Below are 14,640 nucleotides of genomic sequence, written 5' to 3' on the forward strand. Positions count from 1 at the left end.
TCTGAGCTGCCGATGCATATAAAAGTGGGCACAAATTGCATTATGGGAGATTTAATGTTGGTATAGGATGCACTGTCATGCAGGAAATGGCTAATAGAGTACCCAGAAACCAAACTTGGGACTGGGAGTTGAGTGAAGAGATAGTTTTAAAAATATCTTTATTATCAGGGAAGAGCTGTAGTCTAAGTGTAGAGAAAGGGAAAACCAATTAGACAGACTATTAATACCGAATGTTTCCATCATTAACACTCATTGTGTTGCTGCTTCTCAAAAAGCCATTTGTGACCCAAAAGTTGGTCAGCACCAATACCTTTAGATCATGCTAAAAATAGAAGTGAACCTAACTTCCTGAGAGCTTACTACATGCATTTTTAATAGCTAGATCATGTAGGGAAATCAGCATGTCTATTATTAAAATAGAAAAGCTGAGTGTTAGAACACTAATTTGGAGCAGGAAGATTATACAAGACAAATTCTGAACATGAAGATGATAATTTTCCCTTGAGCAGGAAAATAATTTAATAGAACTCAATGCATTAATAGACCTATAGTAGAATGTTAAAAAGAAATTCTAGCAGTGAGAATGGGGAAGACCTACGGGAATATTCAGAGTTGAGCTATAAATCATCTGGATACAGAGGATCCACAACACTTGCTCCAGAGCTTAGAGCAGCAGGAGAAATCACTGAACGAAAAGGAGAGAGAAAAAATTCAAAGAGATTACCCTTGTCAGAAAAGGGGCACATGTTTGTTTGTTTTTTTAACTAAATTTTAAAAAAACTATAGATATGCAGGTTTCTCCAGATATTGTTATGCCATTACCCCTCCAAAGAAGGCACTGCAGAATTTAAAGCCATGAGTTCCTTATATAGAAAAACTCTTGATAATCCTTATTTTGGAAAACAAAGTTCAAGAAAAAATGTGAAAAATTAATTAAATGTGTGAACAATTATTCAAAATGTGTTTAGCACCTTTCATATGAAAAGCATTGTGTTGGAGAGTTTGTGGGATTTAATATTGTAGAAAATGTGATGTCCTTGCCCTCAAAAAGCTGTTGTACTACAGGAAATGAAATGGAATTATTTATAATGAAACTGGTAAGTAATGAGAGCCATATATGCAGTTGACCCTAAGAGCTAACAAGTGTGAAGCTGGGCAGGATGCTTTTCCCTAATGGCTGCAGAATTACAGTAGAGAAGGTGGTATTTGGTATCTCAGGTGGTGGGTATAGCTTGATTAACTTTACACAGGAGTAGAGAAACTTCTTTTTCTCTGGGTAGATACCCAGGAGTGGGATTGCTGGATCAAATAGTAGTTCTACTATTAGTTCTTTAAGAAATCTCCACATTTTTTCCATAGTGATTGTACTAGTTTACATTCCCACCAATGGTATAAAAGTGTTCCCTTTTCACCACATCCAGACCAACGTCTATTATTTTGATTCTGATTATGGCCATTCTTGCAGAAGTAAGGTGGTATTTCATTGTGGTTTTGATTTGCATTTCCCTGATAATTAGTGATGTTGAGCATTTATCCATATGCTTGTTGGTTATTTGTATGTCTTCTTTGGAAAATTGTCTATTCATGTCCTTAGCCCACTTTCTGTTGGAATTTTTTTCTTACTGATTTGTTTGAGTTCTTTGTAGATTCTGGATATTAGTCCTTTGTCAAATGTATAGATTGTGAAGATTGTCTCCCACTCCGTGGGCTATCAATTCTGCTGATTATTTCTTTTGCTTTGCAGAAGCTTTATAGTTTAAGTCCCATCTATTTATCTTTGTTTTTGTTGCATTTGTGCTCGGTTTCTTGGTCATGAAATCTTTGCTTAAGCCAATGTCTAGAATGGTTTTTCCAATGTTATCTTCTAGAATTTGTATGGTTTCAGGTCTTAGATTTAAGTCTTTGATCCATCTTGAGTTGATTTTTATATAAGGTGAGAGATGAAGATCCAGTTTTATTCTTCTATATATGGCTTGCCAATTATCCCAGCATCATTTTTTGAAAAGCATGTCCTTTCCCAATTTTATGTATTTGTTTGCTTTGTCGAAGATTAATTGGCTGTATGCATGTTTAGAGCATCACAATTCGCAATTGCAAAATATGGATCCAGCCCAAATGCCCATCAATCAATGAGTGAATAAAGAAAATGTGGTATGTATGTGTGTGTATATATATATATATATATATATATATATATATATATATATACACCATGGAATACTACTCAACCATAAAAAGGAATGAAATAATGTCATTCACAGCAACCTAGATGTAAATGGAGACTATTATTCTAAGTGAAGTAACTCAGGAATGGAAAACCAAACATCATATGTTGTTACTCATAAGTGGAAGGTAAGCTATGAGTATGCAAAGGCATAAGAATGATACAATGGACTTTAAGGACTCAGGCAAAAGGGTGGAAGGGCGGTGAGAGATAAAAGACTACACATTGGGTACAATGCACACTGCTCGCGTGATGGGTGCACCAACATCTCAGAAATCACCACTAAAGAACTTATTCATGTAACAAAACACCACCTGCCCCCTAAAAACCTATTGAAATAAAAAATAAATTAATTTTAAAAAAAGAAGTAGAGAAACTTGATGAGTCTGTGGGGTATGCCAATTAGCCCAGAATATCCATGTCTTCTCATCCCTCATTGGTTGAGGGTTCACAGACCTACTGTGCAAGCACTGGGGTGGCCAAGGGCAGAGATGGGTCAAACCATCCTGGCCTGTGTCATTCAGAACTTCCTCTGCAGTGAAGGCTCTGGCTCTCTGGTGGGCATTGATTTGAGACACACGAACAGGCAAAGGAGTTTGCACTTTAAATCACTGTGTAATCATGGAGTGATTTAAAGCAGGTAAATTGTGCTTCTTCTGGGAAGCTGTACTTCTTTTTGGAGTCTCCAAACCAATCCCTGGGACCCCACAATGCTGTGTGATGCGGTTCCACTCTTCTCAGCCACCATTCAGGTAATGGTAGCTCTTCTTCCTGGGACTGAGACATGAGGAACATCCCCCTTCCTTGCATCTTACCAGATGCCACATTTACTGAGGCGAGACATTTTCTGAGTGACAAAAACTACCTTATCCTAGATGTGCAGATAATATAGGAACAAACAACATAGAGAGATTCAGTTATTGGCCTATAAAGCAAACTCAGGGTACGGCCCTGAATGGCCTAGAGTTTCCTTTAGTTCATCTCTCTCCTTCTTAACAAGAATGTTTTCCAGACATCAAAATCTGCCTCTTTCAGAAAAAAGTATCTCTTGTGGGCATTTTCATCTTCCTTTCTCATCTCTACCCTACCACACACTTCTAAGTGACACACTGCCTTCCCCTTTGAGCCACCAGAGGAGGCTAGAGACCTCTTCCGAGTTTCTTTCTCTGACCCTGCCTGGGGCAGCTTCTTCCCTTTTGCTTGTTAAGATACTGAAGCCATTCTGACTTTAGGCAATTATTTGTCAAACACATTCTATGATGTAGTAACTGTGCTAGAACCTTGGAATACAACAGATGGAGACATCCATCTTGTTTTCCCAACAGAAATAAACTTGAAACACAGCTCAACTCAAATCAGTAGACATTTGTGGAGTATCTACTGTGTGCCAGGTGCTCTTTTAGGGCTGGAGAGAGTATAAGGATGCTTTCAGCTGTGAGCAAAAGTCTCTAACTTAAAGTGGCTCTAAAAAATAAAAAAGAGGAAATGTATTACTACACAACAGAGGTAGGGCTGTTCCAGACATGGCACACCAGGGTTCTGGCACCACTTCTCTGAAATTCACTTGACTCTTACATCCTTCATGTGTTATGTCATCAGGCTCCCTCCCCTCCATGATTCCAGGATATTTGCAAAGTTCTATATGTCACATTCAAGCAAATAATGTCTAAAGACACAAATGGGACTTCTTTGCTGCATTTATATTTTCGGGAGTAAGGAAAGCTTTCCCAAAAGCTGTCTAGAAATCTTCCCTGCAAATGTCATTGAGCAGAATTGTGTTACAAATCCATGCCCAAACCAATAACTGAAAGGGAGAGAGGAATTATCATGACTGATTTGGACCAATTAGAATGTAATGAGCCCATTCCCTAAAGCCCACTCCCTAAAGGTCATGTGAAAAGTGGTAGATCTCAGTTTGCTGAGGGGGTCGGAGCTCTGGGCAAGAATCTCGAGAGCTTGTCAGAAGAAGATGGCAGTGGAGTCATGCGTTGCACTGGAAGAAATTAACAAAGATCTGGAGATGCCCACCAACCAAGAGAAGACATGTCCAAGCTGTCCTGTGGTCCAGTGAGTGGCAGATCCACACTTAGATGGATGCAACCTTGAATTAACTGACTAGATTAGTAAAAGAAGTCTACCCAGAAGCTAGAAAGAAGGGCACAAACTTCAATTTTGCAGTTGTTTTATGGATCTTAAAAGACATTGCTATCAAGTAAAGGAAACTGGAAGTGTCATGTCTGGTAGAAAAGGGGTGAATGATGAATAACCCTAAAGTGGCAGCAGTTCCAAATAGATTATTTGCACATAGCAATTACTCCTCCAAACCAGGCACCACTTCTCTCAGGGCACATGAGACCATATTAAATTTTATTTACTATTTTTTGCATTTATTTTCCAATTAGTTATGTAAAATTCCTTATATAGTCTTTTTCATCTTATTTCCATTGAGCCTTTAAACTCTAAACACACTGTAATGCATCTATGTAGGAGTTATATTTGGTTGTGCTATGGAATGAGCATTAATAGAAGGTCCATATTGTTTCAAGCCCTGCTGTAAAATATGAAAAGTGCTCTTAGCATTCTGTATAAAACTGTATTGTTAAATATATGTGTGTAGTTTTTGAAAAGGTAAATCCCTAAATAAAATCAGGATTCTCTGAGGTAAGCATAAAGTATCATATGTGTATGGAAGCTGGACTGGATGTTGGTAGGGCAACCAGCAGAGTTGGATAGAAGATTGATCTGGTGCCTTTTTAAATATGATTGGTTATTCCTTATAGTTTCCTATTGCCTGCACATATTTTTCTTCAAGTACAGTGAAAATTATGACCAATAGTTCTAACTATTGAAGTTTAACTAAAGAAGTCTTTCTTCAGGAAAAGATTGAAGTTTCTTTTGTTATATCTGCTGGTGCTACTTCATGTTATCATGCTTCCTTGTGTGTTGTTATTTTATGTGCTTCATTATTTTCTAACTTTCATTTATTTATGTGATTTTTTTTTGAAGTCCAGGATGAGGGAGGGCTCCTCCACATAGGATTTGCATTTCTTTCTATCAGGGATCTGGGAAATTACCAACCCAATATTAAACTGAATTCATAGTTTGTTGAGAATTTGGTGCTAGAGAGCTCTATGACTTGTATTCAGTTGAAATTTCTCAGGTAAGCATATTCTACCTCTACTGCATAGCCACATTCTCTTGCTTTACTAAGCATCAAGGCAACATTTTCAGCAGTCCCCTATATTGGTAGAGGTAGGGAGCATTGATCTCTGGTTTCCCTTACACTGAAAGTGTAAACCTTCAGGTTGCTTGTAATGGAGGGTGGGCTGTGCCTCACTATTAGATTCAATAACTTGGGCAGGTCCTAGGTTTTGTCTTGTATCCCCCTCACGTTAAAAAGGCAACGAAAACCTACCCCATCATATTACTATCAAACATCTCGTAAAAGGATAGGAGGATGGCTGTTTAAGAAGTATTCATTAGAATTTTACCATTTAGCAAAACCCAAATGAAATAGTGGATAAGTAGCAATAATCATCAACAACTGCTAACATCACAAAAGTGACAATTAGTATATGCCTCCTAATTAAACGACACATATGTAGTAGTTTCATTTAAAAAAAAACAAAACCTGCCTCTGATAAGCCTCTCGATCTATTTTCTGGATTGCAGGAAATACAGGGAGCAGCAGAGCATGTTAAATAGCATAACGGGAACGAAATCAGTAAAATCCAGACTGTGGAGAGCTCTACAGGACATATGGTTTCTTCATCCATAGTAAATTCTGAAGGGAAAAGAAAGGAAGGATGAACCAATAGATAAATAGAGATTTAAGAGACATATCAACCAATTGCAATGTATGGTAGACCTTATTTGGATCTTGATTCAAACAAACTAATTTTTAAAAACATAAAATAAGAGGGCGAGTAGGAAGGTAGGAGACAGGGGTGTCTATGGAAACAATGTGAGTTACCCAAACTCAGTGTGGCAGCACCCTTCTGGTTCTGGTTGCTGATCTTCCACAATTTTGGAAAGGAAATGGGGGCACCAGCCACAAGAGCAATCCACTTGCCAAACTGCCTTCCTAGAACCAGGACCTGTCCACATGTCCATGGCTGACTTCATAAGTGGGAGCTCTGCAGCTCCTTGGGGCATTTGGTCAAGACTACAATGAGTTTTGGAGTCAGAGGAAAGCTGAAGAGCACACTGAAGGGGAGAAACAGGGATAGGGTCCATGTGGATCTGGGTGTAGGCTTAAAGGACCCCACCAATAGAACCTGGCCACCAGAGAGGTGGCCTCTTAAACTTTAGAGTTGTTTAATATATGGAGCATGGAGACCAACCCCTTGTTTGCCCAGGTCCAAGGATTGTACTGGTTGGAATGAATACCTGTGTGTATACTAAATTGCCAAGGATTAAGGCAGGATTAGTGTTCAGGAAGTGACATCAACTTAGGAGTCAATCAGGAAAGTTGTAGAGTGACCTGGAGGTCTGAGCATGCTAGCCACATCTAAGAGTAGTGGGTGAAATAACCTGATGAAAGGAGATTTATAGCAGTAGGTTTCAGGGAGGAGGGATGAAGAATGTTCTGGAAGTAGCAATGCAGAACAAGGACATCACCTTCCTATCTCCAGACACAAGTGATGCAAGCATTGGAGGGAAAAGTCAGCCATCACTTGAGAGGGTTGTGGGAGAGCAGCCTCTTAGGAGGGCAAGCCATACTTCCATGAGAATAGAAAGGTGAAGAGAATACTTGGAGATGAGGTTGAGGATATTGGGCATTTTGCTAACAGTGGACTTTGAAGTCCAGGAGGCATAGTCAGAGGGTTTCAGGAGCTGGATAGTGAGAAAGGGACAGAATACTGGATGTGCTGAGCCTTATGAGTATTAGAATGTAAGAGATGAGAAAAGCACTTGAGATTTTGGGGCTTCTTGTGTTCACTGATACAAGCAGGCATTAAGGGCTTAACAAGACGAACATTGGTAGACTCAAAACATACTGTTTTGACTCCCGCGGGCCACAGCCTGACACGGGCATGCCCCTACCCCCTGGCTCCCACAGCCACCTACCGGAGGCATGGCACAGGGAGGGCCTCGCCTCACTGTCACAGCAGCATGGCACAGCAAGATCAACTTCATGCTCGGTGCCAAAGCTGATGGCAAGACCATTCTAAAAGGCCTCCAGTCCATTTTCCAGGAGCAGGGGATGGCAGAGTCTGCACACCTGGCAGGTTAATGGCTAGTTAGCAACCTACAGACAGAAACACAAAAACAGCATCTTTGCCAATTTGAGAATTTACCTACATGGATTGGTGTTGCTGGACCTTCAGAGTTACAATGATGACTTGCAGGGCAAAGAAGAGATCGACAGCCTTTCAAACAATGTAGAAAAAAGAATGAAAGAATTGAGTCAAGACAGTACTGGGCTGGTGAAGCGATTACCACCTGTAGTTTGAAGAGGGGCCATCAACAGACATTGGTCCACCACCGATGGGCGCCTGGTTGAATATGACATAGATGAAGTGGTGTACAATGAAGATTCACCTTATTGGAACATTACAATTCTACACTAGAAGCAATTTGGAAATATTCTCATCCTTAGTAGGGATGTTGATTCGGCAGAGTGATTTGGCATATACCTGGGCCATCACGGGCAGCAGCAAAGCAGATTTCACTGGCAAAGAGGTACTGCTTCTCAGAGGCTGAGATGGGGGCATATTATGAGAAATAGTCAAACTAAAATCAAAGATGGTCACTATGGTAGAGATTGACCAAATGGTGATTGATGGATGTAAGAAATATATGCAAAAAACATGTGGTGATGTTGTAGACAATCTTAAAGGAGGCTGCTATCAGGCTCTGATAGAAGACTGCATTCCAATACTGAAGAGGCACACCAAAGAAGGGAGAGAATTGGATTGTGTGACTAACGATTTGACAGCTGTTCCAATCTCCACATCTCTGGAACAAGATTCCATGTGGGAGTTTCTCAGACTGATTTTTGACCCATGAATGAATGTATTGAAACAGGATGGGAAATATTTTACACAGGCAAACTGTGTCAATCTGACAGAAGCCCTGCCACTCTATGAAGAACAGCTTGGGTGCCTGTATTGCCTTGTGGAATTCTCAAAGGAGATCGTCTATGTCCCTTCAAACTTCGAATTGTGGGTATTTTACGCTGTCTGGAAGAAAGCTAAACCCTGAAGATGAATATCCCTTAATCACAGGTGCTGCAAATGGCCTTTTTCACTTCCATATGCTGTACATGACATTGAAACAAGTCAGGCAATTGATTGTGAATTCCTTGAAGTTTTCTTTTTAATTATTATTTTTAATTTTAAAAAGCAAATGGCAAATGTATATTTTGATGAGCTTAGGGTGTTTTTTTTTTTGAAAGCCAGCTGAAGGATGGTTCAACAGCACAGCAAAGACTGCCAAATGCACTAACACCCTAGAATGTGATTTTTGTTACTTTTTATTTCTCCGTGGGCTTTGTTTTTTTGTTTTGGTTGTGATAGACTTTCAATTTGGATGTTTGGAGGAATGAACATCATTGTTTTGTTCTGGAGGGAAGTTCTTGGTGGTGTTTCTTTCACCCAATATTGACTTAGATATTAAAATGTGGTGCTTATAAGACAGAGTTTAAAAAAAATGAATAGTAATACTTCGATTAAAATTACAAAAGAGACAAAAAATAGTTTTGAGTGTTGTGGAAGCTGAGTGTTGGGGTAAGAAGAGTAGGTGTCTGCACTTTGCTATAGACTCCTGATGATAGTGAGGAGAAGTGGAGAGCTGTGTGGACTTGGTCCAAGAGTATGGGGCTGTCTTCAGACATCTGCTGTGGAAGCCAGGTGTAACTCTGACTTTCCAGAGCATCTTACAAAACCAGTTCTCCAAAGCGCAGGCTTTGGAAAACCTTGCCCTGACTACTAAAAGAGGAAGAGCAACTGACATTTATTCTATACCCATTGTGTACTAGGCACTGTGCTTCTTGTGTATATTATAAAATATAACCACTATAGCATCTGTACTTAGTGTGAATTATTTTTATGAAAACCACTTTGCTGATGCGAAAACAGACCTCTCATGCTCATTAGGTGTCTTTCACAGCTTGTTTTTTAGCATCACAAGACGACACCCTGCATTGAGGAACAAAAGTCCTGAGGTGTAGGAGAGCAATGACTTTAGAGTACTGGGATTCTGTGGGGATGGAGGGTATACCCCTTTTCACTCCATCCGCTTCTACAAGACAAGTGTTTTCAGAAGAGAGAAAACATTTCATTATAATGAAGGCATGAATAAAACTAGTCTGAGTGCTGGATCCAAGGGGCCTGGGGCCAAGGTGTGTGCCAGGCAGGACCCTAGAACCAGAACTGCTTTAGAGGGCAAGTCCAGGAACCAGGGCACAACATCATCATGACACAATGTTTCATGTCCTCCAAAGACACAACGTTAAAATAGCCTTTTCCAGTGCAACCTGGTCTTAAATGGGATGTTTCAGGCAAAATCACAATCAGGGATTTTCCTAAAGGAGCTGTTACCTTCAAATGCATCAAGACACGAAAATCCAGAAGTAGAAAAATCAACCCACTTTAAAAAAATATCTTCCACGGACAAGATAGGAGAATAATTTAAGGAAGATACAGCATAGCATAAAGAACGTTGATCACGTTTAAAGTTTGTTTCATGGTTTTCTGAACTTCCATCACTTGGAGAAACAATCCATTATTCTGCAACAGTTTAGGGGAGGTTCTCAAAAAGGTAACCGTTTGAGAACTCAGTGAATTGCCAGCACATTTTGCAGTTGGAAGCTCAAATTTTTATAAATAACATGCGGGGAATCCAGATAGGATTTATTTTTTAATTTCACAATTGTATTTCCAATGCTGGATTCATAGGCACTTCCTTGTCATAGTAGCAGCACATTAATTTTAGCCTAAATAATTATTTAAATTATTTAACTATTTAAATTATTTAACTATTTAAATAATTATTTTACTAAGAAGAATCCACGAAATGAAAATGAGCACGTTCACTAATTTTCATATTGCCTGACCATCTCATAGCACCATGGTCACAGACTGCAAAGCCTCTCACCGGAACAAGACAGACCAGCAAGGAAGTGTAGGTTCAACAGCACATGAGAATCATAACTTTTAGTGCCAGAGTGTCTGAACCAGAGAGGAGGGAAAATGAGAGGCCAAGAGTTGTCTCCATTTTCTTCTCTTCACAGTATCCTGCATAGTGGCACAAATCGAACTGGAAAGCCCAAGCTAACAACACCGCCCTGGGCGAACCGCCTGTCTCCACCGGCTCCTCTGGGCAGGAGGCTCCAGCCTGGGGGTGCCTGACAGCTCTCCTTCCCCGGCGCCTGTATTATACATGTAACATTTATATTTCTATCCACACAGCGTTCATTCAGCCATCCATTCAATCACCCAGGCATATTTACACGGATGGAACACATTCGCGGAGAGATGTGTGTGTTTGAGTTCCAATCACTGCAGCCCGTATTGGCGCGGCGCTTTGTCTCGCTTTGGGTCACCACCACAGGAGCAACGATTTCGGGGACGGCACACGCCTGTGTGACCGCTTCCCACTCCACTTGGGTTCCGTGAGCGCGCGGAGCCGGAGGAGTCAGGGACGTGAGGATGCCCTACTTCCCGCAGCATCCGGATGGCAGGGTCTGCGTCGGAAGGCCCGGGAGGGCGACGCCCTCCACTGCTGCCGCGGGGTGGGTGCGCCAGGCCTGGGTGTGGCCTCACGGGAGCGAGTTTCTCTCCAGCCGCCTGGCCCACCGCTTTGGAACAGTGAAGCTCGAGTTGGGGTCTCCTGCACGCCAAGGGGAGAAATGTTTGTTTCTGACAACACAAGCAAAATTCTCTCTCCTGCACGCCAAGGGGAGAAATGTTTGTTTCTAACAACACAAGCAAAATTCTCTCTCTCTCTCCCTCTCTCTCTCTCTTCTCTCCTCTCTCTTTCTCCCTCCTCCTCCTTTCTTTCTTTCTCTTTTTCTTTCTTTCTTTCTTTCTTCCTCCTCCTCCTCTCTCTCTCTCTATCTCTCTCTCCACCCCCCCCCCCTCATATTTGGTTGTTTCCCCTCTAAGGGGCCACTTTCAATATCTGCCTGTGAGCCCAGCTGTCTGGCCCTATGTAGCATTGGGGAGACAGTAGACTTAACCCAGCGAAGTTTTCTTCTGTTTGCTCTTGCTGTGCCCAAGTTTCCTCTGGACTTGTCTTCCAGCGTCGGGGTGGGGGCTGGGGGAAGTAGGCAACCTAGCTCTGCCTGGTTGCTCCCTGGAAGCCAAGTCGAAGTGAACAAGTCAGTCCCAGGCCCGGAAATAGAATACAAACCCTCTTTTTGTCCGGTGCTAACAGAGTCCAGCAGTCAGAACTCCCTCGCGTCTCACGCTGGACCTGACCCGGGGCGCCGCCAAGTGCGCAACGCACAGTCACAGTTGGTGACTAATTAAGGACTGCCGCCCCTCTCCTTCACCTGCTACAAACTCAGAGCCCTGACTTCTCCAGAAGTACCTACCACTTGGAGGTGGCTCTCCTTCCCCGCCCCCTGCCCCAGTCCCACACCGCAGCAGCGCCTCAGCACCGCGACTTGCCGGAGCACCGCGAGTGGCGCGCGGGTCCCGCCTCCCCCGCGCGCCGTGACTCCCTGCGCACCGCTGGTACTCTCGCCACGCCGCCGCCCGGCACTGCAGCACCAGGGGGAGGAGGCAGGCGGAGGAGAGGAGGAGGACCGCAGCGTGCAAGCCGGGAGCCACTTTCCCGCCCCTCCTCTCGCCGCTGACACGCTCAGAGGAGTCACCACTCCGCGCGCTGCAGGCGAGAGTGGCAGACGGAGGCAGCCCGGGGAAGCGAGCCGGAGCGGCGCCCGCACTGAGGCGGCTGCAGTGCTGACACCACTCAGGGCAAGGGTGTCCGACGGCTGGAGCGGTGAGTGGGGGAGGTGAAGCGGGCATCCGCGGGGAGACTTTCCCCCGCTGCTGGATTTCTCTTCCCGACTGGTGGCCGGGCGCTGCAGCCTGGGGAAGTTTTTGCAGCCTTTCGGAAGCGCAACTTTGCCCCGCCTGCCCCCGGGGAAGCGGCTGCAGGTGCCCGCTGCTTTGTAGGCGCCTTTGTTGGAGAGGGACCAGGAAAGTAGGGGTAAAATAGATGCAGTGACCCCAGGGTTCGCTAGGGTAGGTCTGGGGACTGGGTCGCACTTTATCTGGGATTCCCAGAGGAGGTGGGTGGGCAGCAGCGGGGATGCAGGGGCCGCATCTGCAGCGACCGCCACGCTCTTTTTTGCTTGTGTGGTTTGACCGGCAGGGATAGGCAGATTCAAATCTAGCAGCCTAGAGCCCCGGGCTGGGTACCTGGACCTATACCTTCATAGCTGCCTTAGGCTCAACTTTTCGGCGGGGATCCCTCTGCAGACGTGCAGGTGGCGGGAGAGCAGAGGTAGCCGCAGTAAGTGCTGAGAGAGCCTGAAAGAAACACCATGAATTTTCAAACTCTCCCACATACATTCCCGAAGCGCCTGTCTGGCGTCTAAGAGAGAGCAAGAGAGGGCTGGAGAGCAGGGGAGCCCGCGGGGCTGAGGCTCTTTGTCAGCGCCTGCACTTCCTACGTTACAACGCCTTCATTCAGCAAAAACCTTTTGGGCGCCTGCTGTGCGCCAGGCCAGGCGAAGCAGACCCGAGGCTGTGAAGCTCAGAGGGGAGAGGGACCAATCGCAGTAAATAAGCTACCGAGGTAATCTTAGATGGCGATGAGGGCAGCAAAAGCCATCAGCCGACCCTCTGACCCTTTCTCTTAGTGGGCTTTTCCCCTTCCGCCTGGGTTCTAGAACTGGGAAGACTTTTCTCCAGAGCGTCGCGGGGAGCGCCCCGGGCTGGGCCCACGGGGACTGCGGAATACGGGGATGAACTTGGCTTGGGGCAGCCAGCACCCCACGGCAGATGAACAATCGGGAGCAGATCTGTGGGCGTGCGGGGACCTTAGGCGGCGCGCGGGGGCGGGGGGAGGGGCTGAGCCACGGGGGCTAGAGGTGCCGCCTGGACGGCCTGAGCTGGGGGCGCTCGCGTCACCTTCTACGTGTGCGAGTGATGCAAATGCAGACCCGCGAGGGGCGGGCGGGGGTGGCGGGCGGGGGCAGGCGACGGAGTCTCCGTCTGGGAGCGCGCGTGTGTGCGTCAAAAGCTCTGGGTTGATGGATGCCCCGCGGCGCGCCTGGCGCGGAGAGCGGCGACCCGGCGGGGCAGAGGGGGGCGGGAGGACTGCGGCGGCGCGGGGCGGCGAGGAAAGCCCCGCACGGCCTGGGCTGGCGGGCAGGCGGCTCCGCAGTGCGCCGCAGTGCCGGGAAGGAGCCGCAGCTACCGGGCGCTCCCCGGGGGACCGAGGAGATGAGGCGTCTTTTAAGGCTCATGAGAGCCTTAAGGAGATGAGACCGGGATGCCGTGATGGTCTCCTCTCCCGCTGAACCTAATCCCTTCATACTTAGCTGACTGCTAGCGCGGTAGCTTCCGTTTAATTCTTATCCTTAATTCTGAAGAATGTGGCATTAATCTCTCAGGCGTTCACTCATTTTCCATGGCAAGTTCCGAAAGGCCTCGTGCTCGTGGGAAGTTTTCATGTGAACGCCTAGGTGTTGAGGTTCGTGAGGTTCTGTAGTGCCAACCCGTTGCGCCACCATTCTGCAGGATTTTTGGCAGGAGGCCTGGCCTCTAAGTGAGGTTTAAGAATGTCTTACAAAACAATATGCCGCATTCCTCTTTCATGGCATAAAAATACGCGTTAAAAAACACTACTGATAACGCATTCTCTGGTGGAAAATAATAAATCAAATCCACGATCCATTTTATTCTTTTTTTTAAAGACCACTTTCTGGAAACCCAGTGACAAAGTTTTTCTACTGGCTTTACTGAAGGAGCCCAAATCTGCAGTATGTAGGCAAAATGAATGAAAGGGGACGGGGTTGGGAAAAAAGAAAGAAAGGAAGGGAGGGAGGAAGAAAAGCAATTATCAAGGAACCCAGAGACACAGATGCTAGTCACCATTTCCCCAAATATTGTGTTATGTCACCTTGGGCAGGTTACTCACCCTCTTGGGTTCATCTTCCACCTCTGAGAATTGTGAAAAATAGCTTATACTAGCTCTTATGTACCTTACAGGGTTGTTTTGAAGACAAAAGAGATAATCTCAGAGAGCTTTGGCTTTGGAAATACAAATTTTCCATGAATGGAAAATATTAGCAAACAAAGCCCCTACACACACACACACACACACACACACACACACAGAATTTTCTTTTAAAAAATTCTAGAGACTTTTCCCAGCATTGTTTTTTTAATGAAATTTGGCCCTCAATGTGAGCAAATGCAGACAGCAGACTTTTCCTAACAGTCTAATATGTAATC

At 44.7% G+C, this 14,640-nt stretch overlaps 1 protein-coding gene, 1 long non-coding RNA gene and 2 pseudogenes across 6 annotated transcripts in view, besides 1 other annotated feature; 3 read left to right on the forward strand and 1 right to left on the reverse strand.

The window, feature by feature from the left end:
* The window catches only part of SV2C (synaptic vesicle glycoprotein 2C), a 506,476-nt gene that overhangs the window by 223,874 nt on the left and 267,962 nt on the right, over window positions 1-14,640 (forward strand). For 3 of the 5 annotated variants that reach the window (NM_001297716.2, NM_014979.4, XM_047416961.1), the window contains exon 1: window positions 12,046-12,175. The exons of 1 other annotated variant lie outside the window; for it this stretch is intronic. The gene's annotated coding sequence lies outside the window, so the exon portion shown is untranslated. Of the gene's footprint in view, window positions 1-12,045; window positions 12,176-12,878; window positions 12,977-14,640 lie in introns of those variants that run through there. One more of the 5 variants, XM_011543281.4, reaches the window with a different exon arrangement.
* Window positions 4,194-4,583, forward strand: SAP18P1 (SAP18 pseudogene 1; annotated as a pseudogene).
* LOC100132039 (spermine synthase pseudogene) lies at window positions 7,462-8,628 on the forward strand (annotated as a pseudogene).
* On the reverse strand, window positions 10,069-12,080 carry SV2C-AS1 (SV2C antisense RNA 1). The gene is made up of 2 exons (NR_183290.1): window positions 11,582-12,080; window positions 10,069-11,059 (listed from the first exon to the last, which is right to left on the reverse strand). It is a non-coding gene; the product is annotated as an SV2C antisense RNA 1 (long non-coding RNA).
* Window positions 10,857-11,410: an enhancer, noted in NCBI's record as "H3K4me1 hESC enhancer chr5:75378019-75378572 (GRCh37/hg19 assembly coordinates)". NCBI's record gives its function as "activates a minimal SCP1, AML or CMV promoter by ChIP-STARR-seq in primed H9 embryonic stem cells {active_cell/tissue: H9 hESC(primed)}" and the evidence as "EXISTENCE:reporter gene assay evidence [ECO:0000049][PMID:30033119]".

The sequence above is a fragment of the Homo sapiens genome, chromosome 5 (genome assembly GCF_000001405.40).
Source record: "Homo sapiens chromosome 5, GRCh38.p14 Primary Assembly".
Lineage (NCBI taxonomy): Eukaryota > Metazoa > Chordata > Mammalia > Primates > Hominidae > Homo > Homo sapiens.